Below are 16,260 nucleotides of genomic sequence, written 5' to 3' on the forward strand. Positions count from 1 at the left end.
TTTTTAAATTGCCAAGTGATTTTATTTCAAGATGACATCAGAATTGCTAAAAGATGATGTAATTGTCAGAGTGACTATTGATTATATCTCCCAGTAAGTGTCAATGTAATTTACTCCATTGTGTGGGCTCTTTTCCTTTCTCTTCCCTAACATTGTATTGCTTGTGAAAAGCCACCAAAGAGAAGCGAAACCACAAAAAGGATGTAACGAATACATATTAAAACTAGTGCTCGGTTTGTATTTACAAGTATGCTGCCTGCAATACGATATTGTTTGTCAGGTAGAGGGCCACTATCTATACTACCTCCTTTTCCTCTCAGTTCACATGTTGGTGGTTGCCACTCATGCAGACAATGACAATGTTTTTTGTTGTTACATACTCCTTTGTAATTGCATGTTTTAAGATCACACTCAAAATGCAGGTCTTGATAAAAAGTACAATTGCGTTTAAGACAGTAGCTCCCTGGGCCACAGGTTGCACCATCCACTACCAGCCCCATTTCTGGCAAGTCTGTCCCCTGGTGTGCTTCATAGCCAAAGCATTTTTCTTCTTTTATGTCGTGTACTAATATATTACAAAATGTAGTGTGCTCACCTCCACCGGGAATGTGGCTGACACCGCTACAGTGCAACATTCCACAAAAAACATCATCTTCTTCACATGGAAAAGGTCTACTTCCCCCTCGCCGTAGAATAACCCCACAGTTTCCAAATCGGTTACCAATCCTATTCAATTTTCGATAGCACGCTGGGGAACCGTCTTTCACTTGGTAGCCAAAAAGGGCTTGACACTGCATATCACGGTCACTGCAGTTTCCTCTTATACAAACAGATACTGCTGAACATGGGGTTCCATCCTGGATGTAGATGTCATTTGGACACTCTTCCTTTTTCCCATCACAGTATTCCGGTAGATCACATATACCACCCAAGTCTCTGCAAACCACTCCAGGGGCAGCATATTTACACTTATGGCAGCAAAGTCCTGTATTGCAAACACTGCCAAGAGAAAGGGTACAAGAGGTCTCACAACATCTATCACTGGCACAATCTTTAAGGGAGCCACAGTCACATTCTTCCCTCTGATTTTTGATCTTGTCTCCACAACGAGGAGCTACGTATGGAAAATTAGTGTATGGAACATTTGGAGCACTCAAACAAGGATCCCATTGATTAAACTTGCGTTGAATTATCTCATAAGAACAATTGCTCATCATATCATTAAGATCAGGAACAGGGTCATGAGACAGTTGGTTCGTCGAAAACAATAACAACCAACAGAATCATGTCTCAAGCCCATGTTATGACCTAGTGCATGTGCTGTAACACATGCCCCCCTAAATAGGTGATACCTCATTATATACACAAACATTGCTCCCCAGTTGGGGGTGCATATTCCATCAAAGCTGGCATAACACTCACTGTTTCCAAGTCGATTTGATGTAAAAACAACTGAGGTATCATGTGAAATTTCTGAATACAAATTGTGATATTTCCACACACCAAACAGTTCTACAGCAACGTGGCCTGGCCTGCTAGCAGAAAATAGTACTGCATCCTTTTGATTCCATATGCACAAAACACATATATAGACATTTAAATAAACTGGTTTGAAAATGGTATGTATGATGCTGTTAATAATCACTACATTCTCTATTATATGTGACACATTAGGGTTCCGCATGAATAATCCACGAGTAACCGTGTAGTGAATTTTCAAGTTTTTTCTATGATGCCTCCACAAATAAACGTGGCCTGCTCTGGGAGTTTCAGCCAGTTTTACCTTTTCAGATTCTTGATCTATCTCTTCCCCTTCAGTCTTACATCTACTAGCCTCTCCTGGTCTTTCTTCTGACACAAGCAGAGATACTACATGCTCAAATTTGGAAGAAGCCTCCAGGTGTTTGATTTCGTAAGTCAAGTCATCCACCTGCAGCATGCCATGCAGACCTCCACGGCAGGTGTCCAATGTGGCCGCAGACCCAGGAACCCCTTCCAGGTAGCAGTCATAGTAACAGTCTCGTGGGACAAAAGGGTAGTTCTCCTGCATGGCCCCTTGGTCATTATCAGTAAAAACAGGTAAATGTCTGGGCATCATGTTCTTCTTGAGCTTCATGTGAATCACGTGTCTTTGGCCCCGGAAACGCATGCTGTAAGAGAGCTGGTCTGGCATCTCAACTCCACCCCTCTTGTGGGGCACTTTCCTGGGGATCACAATTTCTGAGGAAGTGAAGCGCCATCCTGGTGGGTCATGAAAACAATAGACCTGGGACAAGAGTGCCCAGAGGACAGGCAGCCAGAGAGCACCTGTCAAGGGGTCCTGGACCCAGGCAGGTCCCATGAATAAGGAAGCCTTTGACCAAAGAAAATGCAGTCAAATGGGAGGCAGAAAGAGGATTCCTCAGTCTTCAGCCTTCTCCTCAGGGCAGTTTTGAGGAAGGCAGAGTGAGTCTGCAGGCTTGGCACCCCCTGATAGGCGAGGGGTAAGGGTTAGGCTATTACATAACAATGGTGTGCTCATCAGGGGAGGCTGTTTTCAGTGAGCTGGAGACGTAGGCCAGGGGGCAAAGGAAGAGAAAAAAATGGCAGGAATTGAGAAAAGCAGTGTATAACTGAGCTGAAATGTCGCTTGTCCTCTAAGGGAAGTCATAAGTGGGGTTTGATGAGTAAGTGGGTTTGATGCAAGTTTACGACACTTAAGGACATTTTTCTCAAGCCTAAATGAGGGAAGGATTCAACATGTAATTAAAAGAGGGAAGCATATACAATGATAAGGAAAGTAGAAACTTCTTAAAAGAATTTTGAGGATAGACTTAGAGGTTATAGAAATCAAATGGAGCTGAGGGTAATGGATGAACTGGAGAGTAAAATGTCATGAGAAAAATTAGGGTGTGTAACTATAATTTCTTATCAAGTTAAACATATACCTACGCTTTGATCCAGCAATTTCAGTCCTAGGAACTTACCACATAGTCTTGTCTATGAATGTTCATAGCAGTATTATTCATAAATGTATTCTACAATCTGGAAACCAAGAACCAGTCCTTGATAGGTGAATGGATAAACAAACTGATATATTCATTCATTGAAATACTCCTCTGTTATAACATGAACAAACTTCTGAAACATGCAAGATCATGGTTGAATTTCAAAGAAATTATGAGACAAAGAAGCCAGACCAAATGGAGTAGATTATGTTTTAATTTGTATGAAGTTCTAGGATACTTCATATTAATCTATGGAAATAGAAATGTAATTATTAGTTTCTAGATGTGTGAGCAGGGGAATGGGGCATAAAAGGACCTTTCTGGAAAAAGGTAAAGTATCAGTCAAATATCTTGATTGCAATGGTGATTTCAAATAAAAGCTAATCAAGCTGCACCCTTAAAATCTGTGTATTTTATCATAAGCTAAGTACACCTCAAGAGTTAATTTTCTATAAAGGATCTGACTTTAGCTTCTTTCTGACTCAATCCAGAATTAGCACATCATGAAATTATCTCAGAAACCATCTGCCTTTCCTTTTCAAAAATAGTTTTAACATAGAATTGCATGAAAACAGACTCAATTTGGTATAAGGAAGTTACCTACAGCAGCTTACCTCATTTATTTTTCTCCTCTTATGAGTCATACCTTTTAGTTGGGAGGATTTACACAAGGTAATATTTAGAAAAGAAGAATATATTAATATTTAAATGTGTGCAACATTGAAAGATTTGTTTTAAATTCAGTGCAGTCAGAAATACTTTAAAAGTACAAGAATGAGTTGATCTCAGCCTGAAATTAATTGGCCACAATAAAAAAAAATAATAATTTCTAGAAGAAAGTAATGTAATAAAAGTAGAAAGAGGAATAAAAGTAATTGTAATGGTAAGAATTATAAAATGTACTAATTTATACATTATATGTATATTAAGAATTATTGAAAAATAGGAACAGATAAAAAGGATTGAGCCCTTTGGGGAGGAGTAATAGCTAGTTATCCGTTTATTATTTGACATGACGGGAAATATTGACTGAAATCTGTAAGAATGGGGATGACATAAGGGAAGTGATATTCGAAAGATAATTAGGCTGCTTTTTATATTCAGGTACTGTTTTCAGCAATCTGTCAAATCGTTTTTGTCCTCTGCTCTCACACTGCAACAACAATCAACACTAAAGAAGACTTCTGTGACCAAAAGTGTTTTTGTTTTTGTTTTTCACACACACCAAGCAGCAGATACTAGCTGTGTGTCCTTCAAATCAATTCTGACACCATCTACCTGGGTATAGTGTCAGATTCCCCAGGTTAGGCATCCAGTCCCCAGCTTCAGCTACCAGTCACATGTGTAGGCCTCCAGAACTTCTGATCAACAAGCTTCAATTTGGGGTTCCCATGACTCCTTTTTGGAGTTTGGTTAATTTGTTGGAATGGAACTCAGGAAAACACTTACGCTTACCCAGTTATTATAAAGGGTATTATATATGATACAGAAGAAGAGATGCATAGGGTGAGGTATGGTGCAAGGGGCACAGAGCTTCCATGCCCTCCTTGTGCACAATCATCAAGGAGCCCCCACATGCTCAGCTATCCAGAAGCTCTCTGAACCCTACCCTTTTGAGTTTTTATAGAGGTTTCATTACATAGGCATGATTGACAACCACACAGAAATGTGATTGGAGAAAGTGCATGGTTTAAACCCAGCAAGGCCTGTCTGTTCAGTCTTCGCCTCTGTGTTTACCATTCTTCCTTTAGGATATTGGGTAGGACCCCCTCTGGAATGAGGGTCTTCTGCCCCATAATCAGATTAGTCCTGCCTTGGATAGGTGAAAAAGGACAGGAAAAGGTCAGAGAGAGAGAGAGGGATTCTGATTCTTCAGGTCTGTTTCTGAGGCCTAAAGCACTCCAACATTAATTATAACAAAACTATAATAAGGTTGTGGGCATTGTAAGCCAGGAACTATGGATGAAAACCTATGTGTGTATGTGTGTGTGTGTGTGTGTGTGTATATATTATATATAAAATATATATATATATATATAAAATCATAATATCACAGATACTGAAAAGATACAGCCAGGAAACCCCCTAGTCACAATGTTGTATAAATTAGCAGACTATTTCAATGACGTGAAGGGACTGTTTGGGGGTACACAGAAGTTCTAGAAATGAGTTAGGTTTGAGTAATCGTGTGTATGTGTGTGTCTGTGTGTGTGTATTGTGTTTAGTCTTTTAAAAATCTTCTTGAATTTAGTTCTCTCTTTGTGTGTCTCATCTGGCTTTTCATGAATTATAATGTATTATTTTTGAAATCATAGATGTTTTAAAAAGTTTTAAGTGAGAGTGACATCAGTAAAATATCAGGCTGGAAAACTGCAAGCTCTCCTTCCCCCATAGAAACATTGAAAAAGAAAAAACCTAGAAATTCAGCTATCTGAATCAACTGTGTAAGAGCTTTGGAAAAAAATGCAAAGGTTTACAACAAACAAACAAACATACATCAAGAAAATGCCATCTTCAAAATACTCCAATAATTAAAGAAACCTTTGCCAAAACATTAGTTAATGCAAGCTAAAGGAACAGCATCTTTACTGAGCACACAAAACCAGATAGGCTTGACTAAATTTGTTTGGAAAAATATCTAAACAAATGCCTTATATCCTTCAACAACTAAACTTTTCAAAAGCATTACCGGAAGGAATGAGAATATGTTCTCAGTTACCACACTGTAATAATCAAATACCCTATTGTCATAAACAACAAAAAGTACAAAGTATACAAAGAAACAGTAAGACATGGCTTATTCAAAAGAACAAAATAATTGACAGAAATCATCCCCAATAGAACCTAGACACCAGACTTACTAGACTAAGTCCATAAAACAACAGTTTGAAGTATAGTCAAAGAGCTAAGGGAAAACATGGACAAAAAAAAAAAAAACCCAGAAGAATCAAAAAACTAATATATGAACAAAATAAGCATTTTTAACAAAGAAAATTACAAAAAGGAAATAAATGAAAATTCTGGATTGGAAAGGCACAGTAACTACAATGAAAAATGTAGTAGGGTTGCTCAACAGCAGATTTGTTCAAAGAGAAAAAAAGTCTTCTTTTCTTGAAAATACTTGAAGATAGGACAATTGAACTTATCTGATCTAAGTAGAAGAAACAAGAAGGAATGAAGAAAAGTATACAGAACAAAAAGAAATTGTGAAACACCATCAAGCTAAACAACATATGCATTATGGGAGTCTTAGATGGAGAAGAAAACCCAGGCTGAGAATTTTCTGTCTTTATGCTCTGCTTCCCTTTTAGTGATAAACTGTCTTTAAATTCTTTCTTTCTGGGGGAGGAGCCAAGATGGCCGAATAGGAACAGCTCCAGTCTACAGCTCCCAGCATGAGCGACGCAGAAGACGGTGATTTCTGCATTTCCATCTGAGGTACCAGGTTCATCTCACTAGGGAGTGCCAGACAGTGGGTGCAGGTCAGTGGGTGCGCGCACCGTGCGCGAGCCGAAGCAGGGCGAGGCATTGCCTCACTTGGGAAGCGCAAGGGGTCAGGGAGTTCCCTTTCCGAGTCAAAGAAAGGGGTGACGGACAGCACCTGGAAAATCGGGTCACTCCCACCCGAATACTGCGCTTTTCCGACAGGCTTAAAAAACGGCGCACCACGAGATTATATCTGGCACCTGGCTTGGAGGGTCCTATGCCCACGGAGTCTCGCTGATGGCTAGCACAGCAGTCTGAGATCAAACTGCAAGGCAGCAGCCAGGCTGGGGGAGAGGCGGCCGCCATTGCCCAGGCTTGATTAGGTAAACAAAGCAGCCGGGAAGCTCCAACTGGGCGGAGCCTACCACAGCTCAAGGAGGCCTGCCTGCCTCTGTAGGCTCCACCTCTGGGGGCAGGGCACAGACAAACAAAAAGACAGCAGTAACCTCTGCAGACTTAAATGTCCCTGTCTGACAGCTTTGAAGAGAGCAGTGGTTCTCCCAGCATGCAGCTGGAGATCTGAGAATGGGCAGACTGCCTCCTCAAGTGGGTCCCTGACCCCTGACCCCCGAGCAGCCTAACTGGGAGGCACCCCCCAGCAGGGGCCCACTGACACCTCACATGGCAGGGTATTCCAACAGACCTGCAGCTGAGGGTCCTGTCTGTTAGAAGGAAAACTAACAAACAGAAAGGACATCCACACCAAAAACCCATCTGTACATCACCATCATCAAAGACCAAAAGTAGATAAAACCACAAAGATGGGGAAAAAACATAACAGAAAAACGGGAAACTCTAAAAAGCAGAGCGCCTCTCCTCCTCCAAAGGAACGCAGTTCCTCACCAGCAATGGAACAAAGCTGGATGGAGAATGACTTTGACGAGCTGAGAGAAGAAGGCTTCAGACGATCAAATTACTCTGAGCTACGGGAGGACATTCAAACCAAAGGCAAAGAAGTTGAAAACTTTGAAAAAAATTTAGAAGAATGTATAACTAGAATAACCAATACAGAGAAGTGCTTAAAGGAGCTGATGGAGCTGAAAACCAAGGCTCGAGAACTACGTGAAGAATGCAGAAGCCTCAGGAGCCGATGCGATCAACTGGAAGAAAGGGTATCAGCGATGGAAGATGAAATGAATGAAATGAAGTGAGAAGGGAAGTTTAGAGAAAAAAGAATAAAAAGAAATGAGCAAAGCCTCCAAGAAATATGGGACTATGTGAAAAGACCAAATCTACATCTGATTGGTGTACCTGAAAGTGATGGGGAGAATGGAACCAAGTTGGAAAACACTCTGCAGGATATTATCCAGGAGAACTTCCCCAATCTAGCAAGGCAGGCCAACGTTCAGATTCAGGAAATACAGAGAACGCCACAAAGATACTCCCCGAGAAGAGCAACTCCAAGACACATAATTGTCAGATTCACCAAAGTTGAAATGACGGAAAAAATGTTAAGGGCAGCCAGAGAGAAAGGTCGTGTTACCCTCAAAGGTAAGCCCATCAGACTAACAGCGGATCTCTCGGCAGAAACCCTACAAGCCAGAAGAGAGTGGGGGCCAATATTCAACATTCTTAAAGAAAAGAATTTTTGCTCCCTCTCCCTCTCCCTCTCTCTCTCCCCACGGTCTCCCTCTCCCTCTCTTTCAACGGTCTCCCTCCGATGCGGAGCCGAAGCTGGACTGTACTGCCGCCATCTCTGCTCACTGCAACCTCCCTGCCTGATTCTCCTGCCTCAACCTGCCGAGTGCCTGCGATTGCAGGCGCGCGCTGCCATGCCTGACTGGTTTTCGTATTTTTTTGGTGGATACGGGGTTTCGCTGTGTTGGCCAGGCTGGTCTCCAGCTCCTAACCGGGAGTGATCTGCCAGCCTCAGCCTCCCGAGGTGCCAGGATTGCAGAAGGAGTCTCGTTCACTCAGTGCTCAATGTTGCCCAGGCTGGAGTGTAGTGGCATGATCTTGGCTAGCTACAACCTCCACCTCCCAGCCGCCTGCCTTGGCCTCCCAAAGTGCTGAGATTGCAGCCTCTGCCTGGCCGCCACCCCGTCTGGGAAGTGACGAGCGTCTCTGCGTGGCCGCCCATCATCTGGGATGTGAGGAGCCCCTCTGCCCGGCTGCCTAGTCTGGGAAGTGAGGAGCGCCTCTTCCCAGCTGCCATCCCGTCTAGGAAGTGAGGAGCGTCTCTGCCCGGCCGCCCACGCCCATCGTCTGAGATGTGGGGAGCGCCTCTGCCCCACCGCCGTGTCTGGGAGGTGAGGAGCGTCTCTGCCCGGCCGCCCCGTCTGAGAAGTGAAGAGCCCCTCCGCCCAGCAGCCGCCCCGTCCGGGAAGTGAGGAGCATCTCTGCCCGGCAGCTGCCCCATCTGGGAGGTGGGGGGGCAGCCCCCGCCCGGCAGCTGCCCCGTCCGGGAGGGAGGTGGGGGGCAGCCCCCGCCCGGCCAGCCGCCCCGCCGGGAGGGAGGTGGGGGGTCAGCCCCCACCTGGCCAGCCGCCCCGTCCGGGAGGGAGGTGGGGGTCAGCCCCCGCCCGGCCAGCCGCCCCGTCCGGGAGGGAGGTGGGGGTGCGCCTCTGCCCGGCCGCCGCCCTGTCCGGGAGGTGGGGGGCGCCTCTGCCCGGCCGCCCCTTCTGGGAGGTGAGGAGCCCCTCTGCCCGGCTGCCGCCCCATCTGGGAGGTGTACCCAGCAGCTCATTGAGAACGGGCTATGATGACGATGGCGGTTTTGTCGAATAGAAAAGGGGGAAATGTGGGGAAAAGATAGAGAAATCAGATTGTTGCTGTGTCTGTGTAGAAAGAAGTAGACATAGGAGACTCCATTTTGTTCTGTACTAAGAAAAATTCTTCTGCCTTGGGATGCTGTTGATCTATGACCTTACCCCCAACCCGGTGCTCTCTGAAACATGTGCTGTGTCCACTCAGGGTTAAATGGATTAAGGGCGGTGCAAGATGTGCTTTGTTAAACAGATGCTTGAAGGCAGCATGATGGTTAAGAGTCATCACCACTCCCTAATCTCAAGTACCCAGAGACACAAACACTGCGGAAGGCCCCAGGGTCCTCTGCCTAGGAAAACCAGAGACCTTTGTTCACTTGTTTATCTGCTGACCTTCCCTCCACTATTGTCCTATGACCCTGCCAAATCCCCCTCTGCGAGAAACACCCAAGAATGATCAATAAAAAAAAAAAAAGAGTGAAAAAAAAAGAATTTTCAACCCAAAATTTCATATCCAGCCAAACTAAGCTTCATAAGCGAAGGAGAAATAAAATACTTTACAGACAAGCAAATGCTGAGAGATTTTGTCACCACCAGGCCTGCCCTAAAAGAGCTCCTGAAGGAAGCACTAAACATGGAAAGGAAAAACCGGTACCAGCCGCTGCAAAATCATGCCAAAATGTAAAGACCATCAAGACTAGGAAGAAACTGCATCAACTAACGAGCAAAATCACCAGCTAACATCATAATAACAGGATCAAATTCACACATAACAATATTAACTTTAAATGTAAATGGACTAAATGCTCCAATTAAAAGACACAGACTGGCAAGTTGGATAAAGAGTCAAGACCCATCAGTGTGCTGTATTCAGGAAACCCATCTCACGTGCAGAGACACACATAGGCTCAAAATAAAAGGATGGAGGAAGTTCTACCAAGCAAATGGAAAACAAAAAAAGGCAGGGGTTGCAATACTAGTCTCTGATAAAACAGACTTTAAACCAACAAAGATCAAAAGAGACAAAGAAGGCCATTACATAATGGTAAAGGGATCAATTCAACAAGAACACCAAACTATCCTAAATATATATGCACCCAATACAGGAGCACCCAGATTCATAAAGCAAGTCCTGAGTGACCTACAAAGAGACTTAGACTCCCACACATTAATAATGGGAGACTTTAACACCCCACTGTCAACATTAGACAGATCAACGAGACAGAAAGTCAACAAGGATACCCAGGAATTGAACTCAGCTCTGCACCAAGCAGACCTAATAGACATCTACAGAACTCTCCATCCCAAATCAACAGAATATACATTTTTTTCAGCACCACACCACACCTATTCCAAAATTGACCACATACTTGGAAGTAAAGCTCTCCTCAGCAAATGTAAAAGAACAGAAATTATAACAAACTATCTCTCAGACCACAGTGCAATCAAACTAGAACTCAGGATTAAAAATCTCACTCAAAACCGCTCAACTACATGGAAACTGAACAACCTGCGCCTGAATGGCTATTGAGTAAATAACAAAATGAAGGCAGAAATAAAGATGTTCTTTGAAATAAAGATGTTCTTTGAAACCAACAAGAACAAAGACACAACATACCAGAATCTCTAGGACGCATTCAAAGCAGTGTGTAGAGGGAAATTTATAGCACTAAATGCCCACAAGAGAAAGCAGGAAAGATCCAAAATTGACACCCTAACATCACAATTAAAAGAACTAGAGATGCAAGAGCAAACACATTCAAAAGCTAGCAGAAGGCAAGAAATAACTAAAATCAGAGCACAACTGAAGGAAATAGAGACACAAAAAACCCTTCAAAAAATTAATGAATCCAGGAGCTGGTTTTTTGAAAGGATCAACAAAATTGATAGACTGCTAGCAAGACTAATAAAGAAAAAAAGAGAGAAGAATCTAATAGATGCAATAAAAAATGATAAAGGAGATATCACCACCGATCCCACAGAAATACAAACTACCATCAGAGAATACTACAAACACCTCTACGCAAATAAACTAGAAAATCTAGAAGAAATGGATAAATTCGACACATACACTCTCCCAGGAAGAAGGTGAATCTCTGAATAGACCAATACCAGGATCTGAAATTGTGGCAATAATCAATAGCTTACCAACCAAAAAGAGTTCAGGACCAGATGGATTCACAGCTGAATTCTCCAGAGGTACAAGAAGGAACTGGTATCATTCCTTCTGAAACTATTCCAATCAATAGAAAAAGAGGGAATCCTCCCTAACTCATTTTATGAGGCCAGCATCATTCTGATACCAAAGCCAGGCAGAGACACAACAAAAAAAGAGAATTTTAGACCAATATCCTTGATGAACACTGATGCAAAAATCCTCAATAAAATACTGGCAAAACGAATCCAGCAGCACATCAAAAAGCTTATCCACCATGATCAAGTGGGCTTCATCCCTGGGATGCAAGGCTGGTTCAATATACACAAATCAATAAATGTAATCCAGCATATAAACAGAGCCAAAGACAAAAACCACATGATTATCTCAATAGATGCAGAAAAAGCCTTTGACAAAATTCAACAACCCATTCATGCTAAAAACTCTCAATAAATTAGGTATTGATGGGACGTATTTCAAAATAATAAGAGCTATCTATGACAAACCCACAGCCAATATCATACTGAATGGGCAAAAACTGGAAGCATTCCCTTTGAAAACTGGCACAAGACAGGGATGCCCTCTCTCACCACTCCTATTCAACATAGTGTTGGAAGTTCTGGCCAGGGCAGTTAGGCAGGAGAAGGAAATAAAGGGTATTCAATTAGGAAAGGAGGAAGTCAAATTGTCCCTGTTTGCAGATGACATGATTGTATATCTAGAAAACCCCATTGTCTCAGCCCAAAATCTCCTTAAGCTGATAAGCAACTTCAGCAAAGTCTCAGGATACAAAATCAATGTACAAAAATCACAAGCATTCTTATACACCAGCAACAGACAAACAGAGAGCCAAATCATGAGTGAACTCCCATTCACAATTGCTTCAAAGAGAATAAAATACCTAGGAATCCAACTTACAAGGGATGTGAAGGACCTCTTCAAGGAGAACTACAAACCACTGCTCAAGGAAATAAAAGAGGATACAAACAAATGGAAGAACATTCCATGCTCATGGGTAGGAAGAATCAATATCGTGAAAATGGCCATACTGCCCAAGGTAATTTACAGATTCAATGCCATCCCCATCAAGCTACAAATGCCTTTCTTCACAGAATTGGAAAAAACTACTTTAAAGTTCATATGGAACCAAAAAAGAGCCCGCATCGCCAAGTCAATCCTAAGCCAAAAGAACAAAGCTGGAGGCATCACACTACCTGACTTCAAACTATACTACAAGGCTACAGTAACCAAAACAGCATGGTACTGGTACCAAAACAGAGATATAGATCAATGGAACAGAACAGAGCCCTCAGAAATAACGCCGCATATCTACAACTATCTGATCTTTGACAAACCTGAGAAAAACAAGCAATGGGGAAAGGATTCCCTATTTAATAAATGGTGCTGGGAAAACTGGCTAGCCATATGTAGAAAGCTGAAACTGGATCCCTTCCTTACACCTTATACAAAAATCAATTCAAGATGGATTAAAGATTTAAACGTTAGACCTAAAACCATAAAAACCCTAGAAGAAAACCTAGGCATTACCATTCAGGACATAGGCGTGGGCAAGGACTTCATGTCCAAAACACCAAAAGCAATGGCAACAAAAGCCAAAATTGACAAATGGGATCTAATTAAACTAAAGAGCTTCTGCACAGCAAAAGAAACTACCATCAGAGTGAACAGGCAACCTACAACATGGGAGAAAATTTTCGCAACCTACTCATCTGACAAAGGGCTAATATCCAGAATCTACAATGAACTCAAACAAATTTACAAGAAAAAAACAAACAACCCCATCAAAAAGTGGGCGAAGGACATGAACAGACACTTCTCAAAAGAAGACATTTATGCAGCCAAAAAACACATGAAGAAATGCTCATCATCACTGGCCATCAGAGAAATGCAAATCAAAACCACTACGAGATATCATCTCACACCGGTTAGAATGGCAATCATTAAAAAGTCAGGAAACAACAGGTGCTGGAGAGGATGTGGAGAAATAGGAACACTTTTACACTGTTGGTGGGACTGTAAACTAGTTCAACCATTGTGGAAGTCAGTGTGGCAATTCCTCAGGGATCTAGAACTAGAAATACCATTTGACCCAGCCATCCCATTACTGGGTATATACCCAAAGGACTATAAATCATGCTGCTATAAAGATACATGCACACGTATGTTTATTGCGGCATTATTCACAATAGCAAAGACTTGGAACCAACTCAAATGTCCAACAATGATAGACTGGATTAAGAAAATGTGGCACATACACACCATGGAATACTATGCAGCCATAAAAAATGATGAGTTCATGTCCTTTGTAGGGACATGGATGAAACTGAAAAACATCATTCTCAGTAAACTATCGCAAGAACAAAAAACCAAACACCACATATTCTCACTCATAGGTGGGAATTGAACAATGAGATCACATGGACACAGGAAGGGGAATATCACACTCTGGGGACTGTTGTGGGGTGGCGGGAGGGGGGAGGGATAGCATTGGGAGATATACCTAATGCTAGATGACGAGTTAGTGGGTGCAGTGCACCAGCATGGCACATGTATACATATGTAACTAACCTGCACAATGTGCACATGTACCCTAAAACTTAAAGTATAATAAAAAAATAAATAAATAAAAATAAATAAAAATAAAAATAAAAAATAAAAAAATACTTTCTTTCTTCTAGCGTTTACTCTAAGCAGTTGATAGAAGCCATACAGATTATTAATATTTTGCTTAGATATTTCTATGGCCAGATGTCTATATATATATATATGTATTATGTATTACTTTTATTTTATTTGGTTGTTTTTTATATATGTGTTTATATATGTGTGTGTGTGTGTGTATGTGTGTATGTATATATATAACAGAAATATCTAAGCAAAATATTAATAAAATATTTTTGTCTATATATTCATGTGTACATATATACCATATATATGTAGTCTATCTATCTATCATCTATCTATCATTTGATTGTTTGTTTTTGTAGAGACAAAGTCTCACTATATTGCTCAGGCTGGTCTTGAACTCCTGGCTCAAGCAATTCTTCTGCCTCAGCCTCCTAAAGTGCTGGGATTATAAGCATGAGCCACCATGCCTGGTCAGTGCATTGCTTCATTGCTTTTTAATTATTTTTCCCACAACGTCCTCTGTCATGAGGATAATTCAGCCAAGTTTATTGCCACTTTATAACAAGGATGACCTTACCTTCAGTTTCTAATAAGATATTCCTCATTTCCATCTGAGACCTCATCAGAAAGGCCTTCATTGTCCATATTTCTGCCAATATTCTGTTCACAAGCTCTTAATCTTTAAGACTTAGGCGAGAGATAAGCAGGAACAAACCAAACTCAAAATTGGCAAAATTGGCAATCTAAAAAGGAAATAATAAAGCTCAGAGAAGAAATAAACAAAAAAAGACTAAAATAAAGATCAATGAAATGAAGAGCTGGTTTAAAAAACAAAATCCACAAGCCTTTATCTAGACTAAGAAAAAAAGAGAGAGAAGGCTGAAATAAATAAAATGCAGATGAAAAGGAGATGTTACAACTGATAGTACAGGAATATAAAGGGTCATAAGAGACTATTATGACAACAAATTTCATAACACAGAAGAAAGGGATCAATTCCTGGACAGATATAACCTACCAACATTAAATTATGAAGAAATAGAAAATTTGAACAGGCCAGTGATGAGTGAGGAAATTGAATCAGTAATACATGAGCGAGGAAACTGAATCAGTAATAAAAAGTCTTTCATCAAAGAAAAGCTCAGGAACTAATGGCTTCAGTGCTGAATTCTACAAACATTTGAAGAGCTAATGCCTATTCTCCTCAAACTATTCCAGAAAAACTGAAAAGGAATGAGTATTGCCAAACTAGTTTTACCAGGCCACTACTGCCCTGATTCCAAAACCAAACAACACAGCAACAACAACAAAAACAACAGGCCAACAAAAACTCCTTGATGAATGTACATGCAAAAATTCTTAGTAAGGTGTTAGCAATCCAAATCCAACAGCATATTAAGAAGACTATTCAATATGATCAAGTGGGATTAATGCCAGTGATGCAAGATGATTTAGCATACACAAATCAACAAATGCACTACACCACGTTACAAGAAAGAGTGACAGAAACCATGTGATATTTTAATAGATGCAGAAAATAATTTGACAAGATTCAACATCCTTTCATGACAAAATTTCTCAACGAATTAGGTATAGAGTTATGCACCTAAACGCAATAAAGACCATATATGACAAACTCCCAGCTAACATCATAGTGAAAAGGGAAAAGCTCAGGAACCAAATAAGAAGGCCCACTTTCAATATTTTACTGGAAGTCCTAGCCAGATCAATTAGGTAAGAGAAAGAAGTAAAAGGCATCCAAATTGGAAAAGAGGAAGTCAAATTGGTCCTGTTTGCAGATGACTTCATCTTGTATAGAGAAAACCCTAAAGACTCCACCAAAAAACCTCTAGAAATAATAAACAAATTCAATTAAAAGTTACAGGCTACAAAATCAACATAAAAATTATTACCATTTCAATATGCTAATAGTGAACTATCTTAAAAAGAAATCAAGAAAACAATTTTATTTACAATCGCAACAACAACTACAACAACAGCAAACTCCTAGGAATAAACATAACCATGCAGGTGAAAGATTTCTACACTGAAAACTATAAAACTTTGATGAAAGAAACTGAAGAGGATACAAATAAGTAGAAGTGTTCATAGATTGGAAGAATTTATGTTTTTAAAATGGCCATACTACCCAAAGCAATGAGATTTAATACAATCCCTATCAAAATACCAATGACATTCTTCACAGATAAAGAAAAAACAAACCATAAAATTTATGTGAAATCATAAAAGATTCCATTGGAGTGTGAAGCTGGAGGCC

General features: G+C 41.0%; 1 pseudogene across 1 annotated transcript; it reads right to left on the reverse strand.

The window, feature by feature from the left end:
* ADAM20P1 (ADAM metallopeptidase domain 20 pseudogene 1) lies at positions 1-14,881 on the reverse strand (annotated as a pseudogene). The gene is made up of 2 exons (NR_037933.1): positions 14,560-14,881; positions 1-2,717 (listed from the first exon to the last, which is right to left on the reverse strand). The product of NR_037933.1 is annotated as an ADAM metallopeptidase domain 20 pseudogene 1 (transcript).
* Positions 14,882-16,260: the final 1,379 nt, after the last annotated feature.

This window comes from Homo sapiens, chromosome 14 (assembly GCF_000001405.40).
Source record: "Homo sapiens chromosome 14, GRCh38.p14 Primary Assembly".
NCBI lineage: Eukaryota > Metazoa > Chordata > Mammalia > Primates > Hominidae > Homo > Homo sapiens.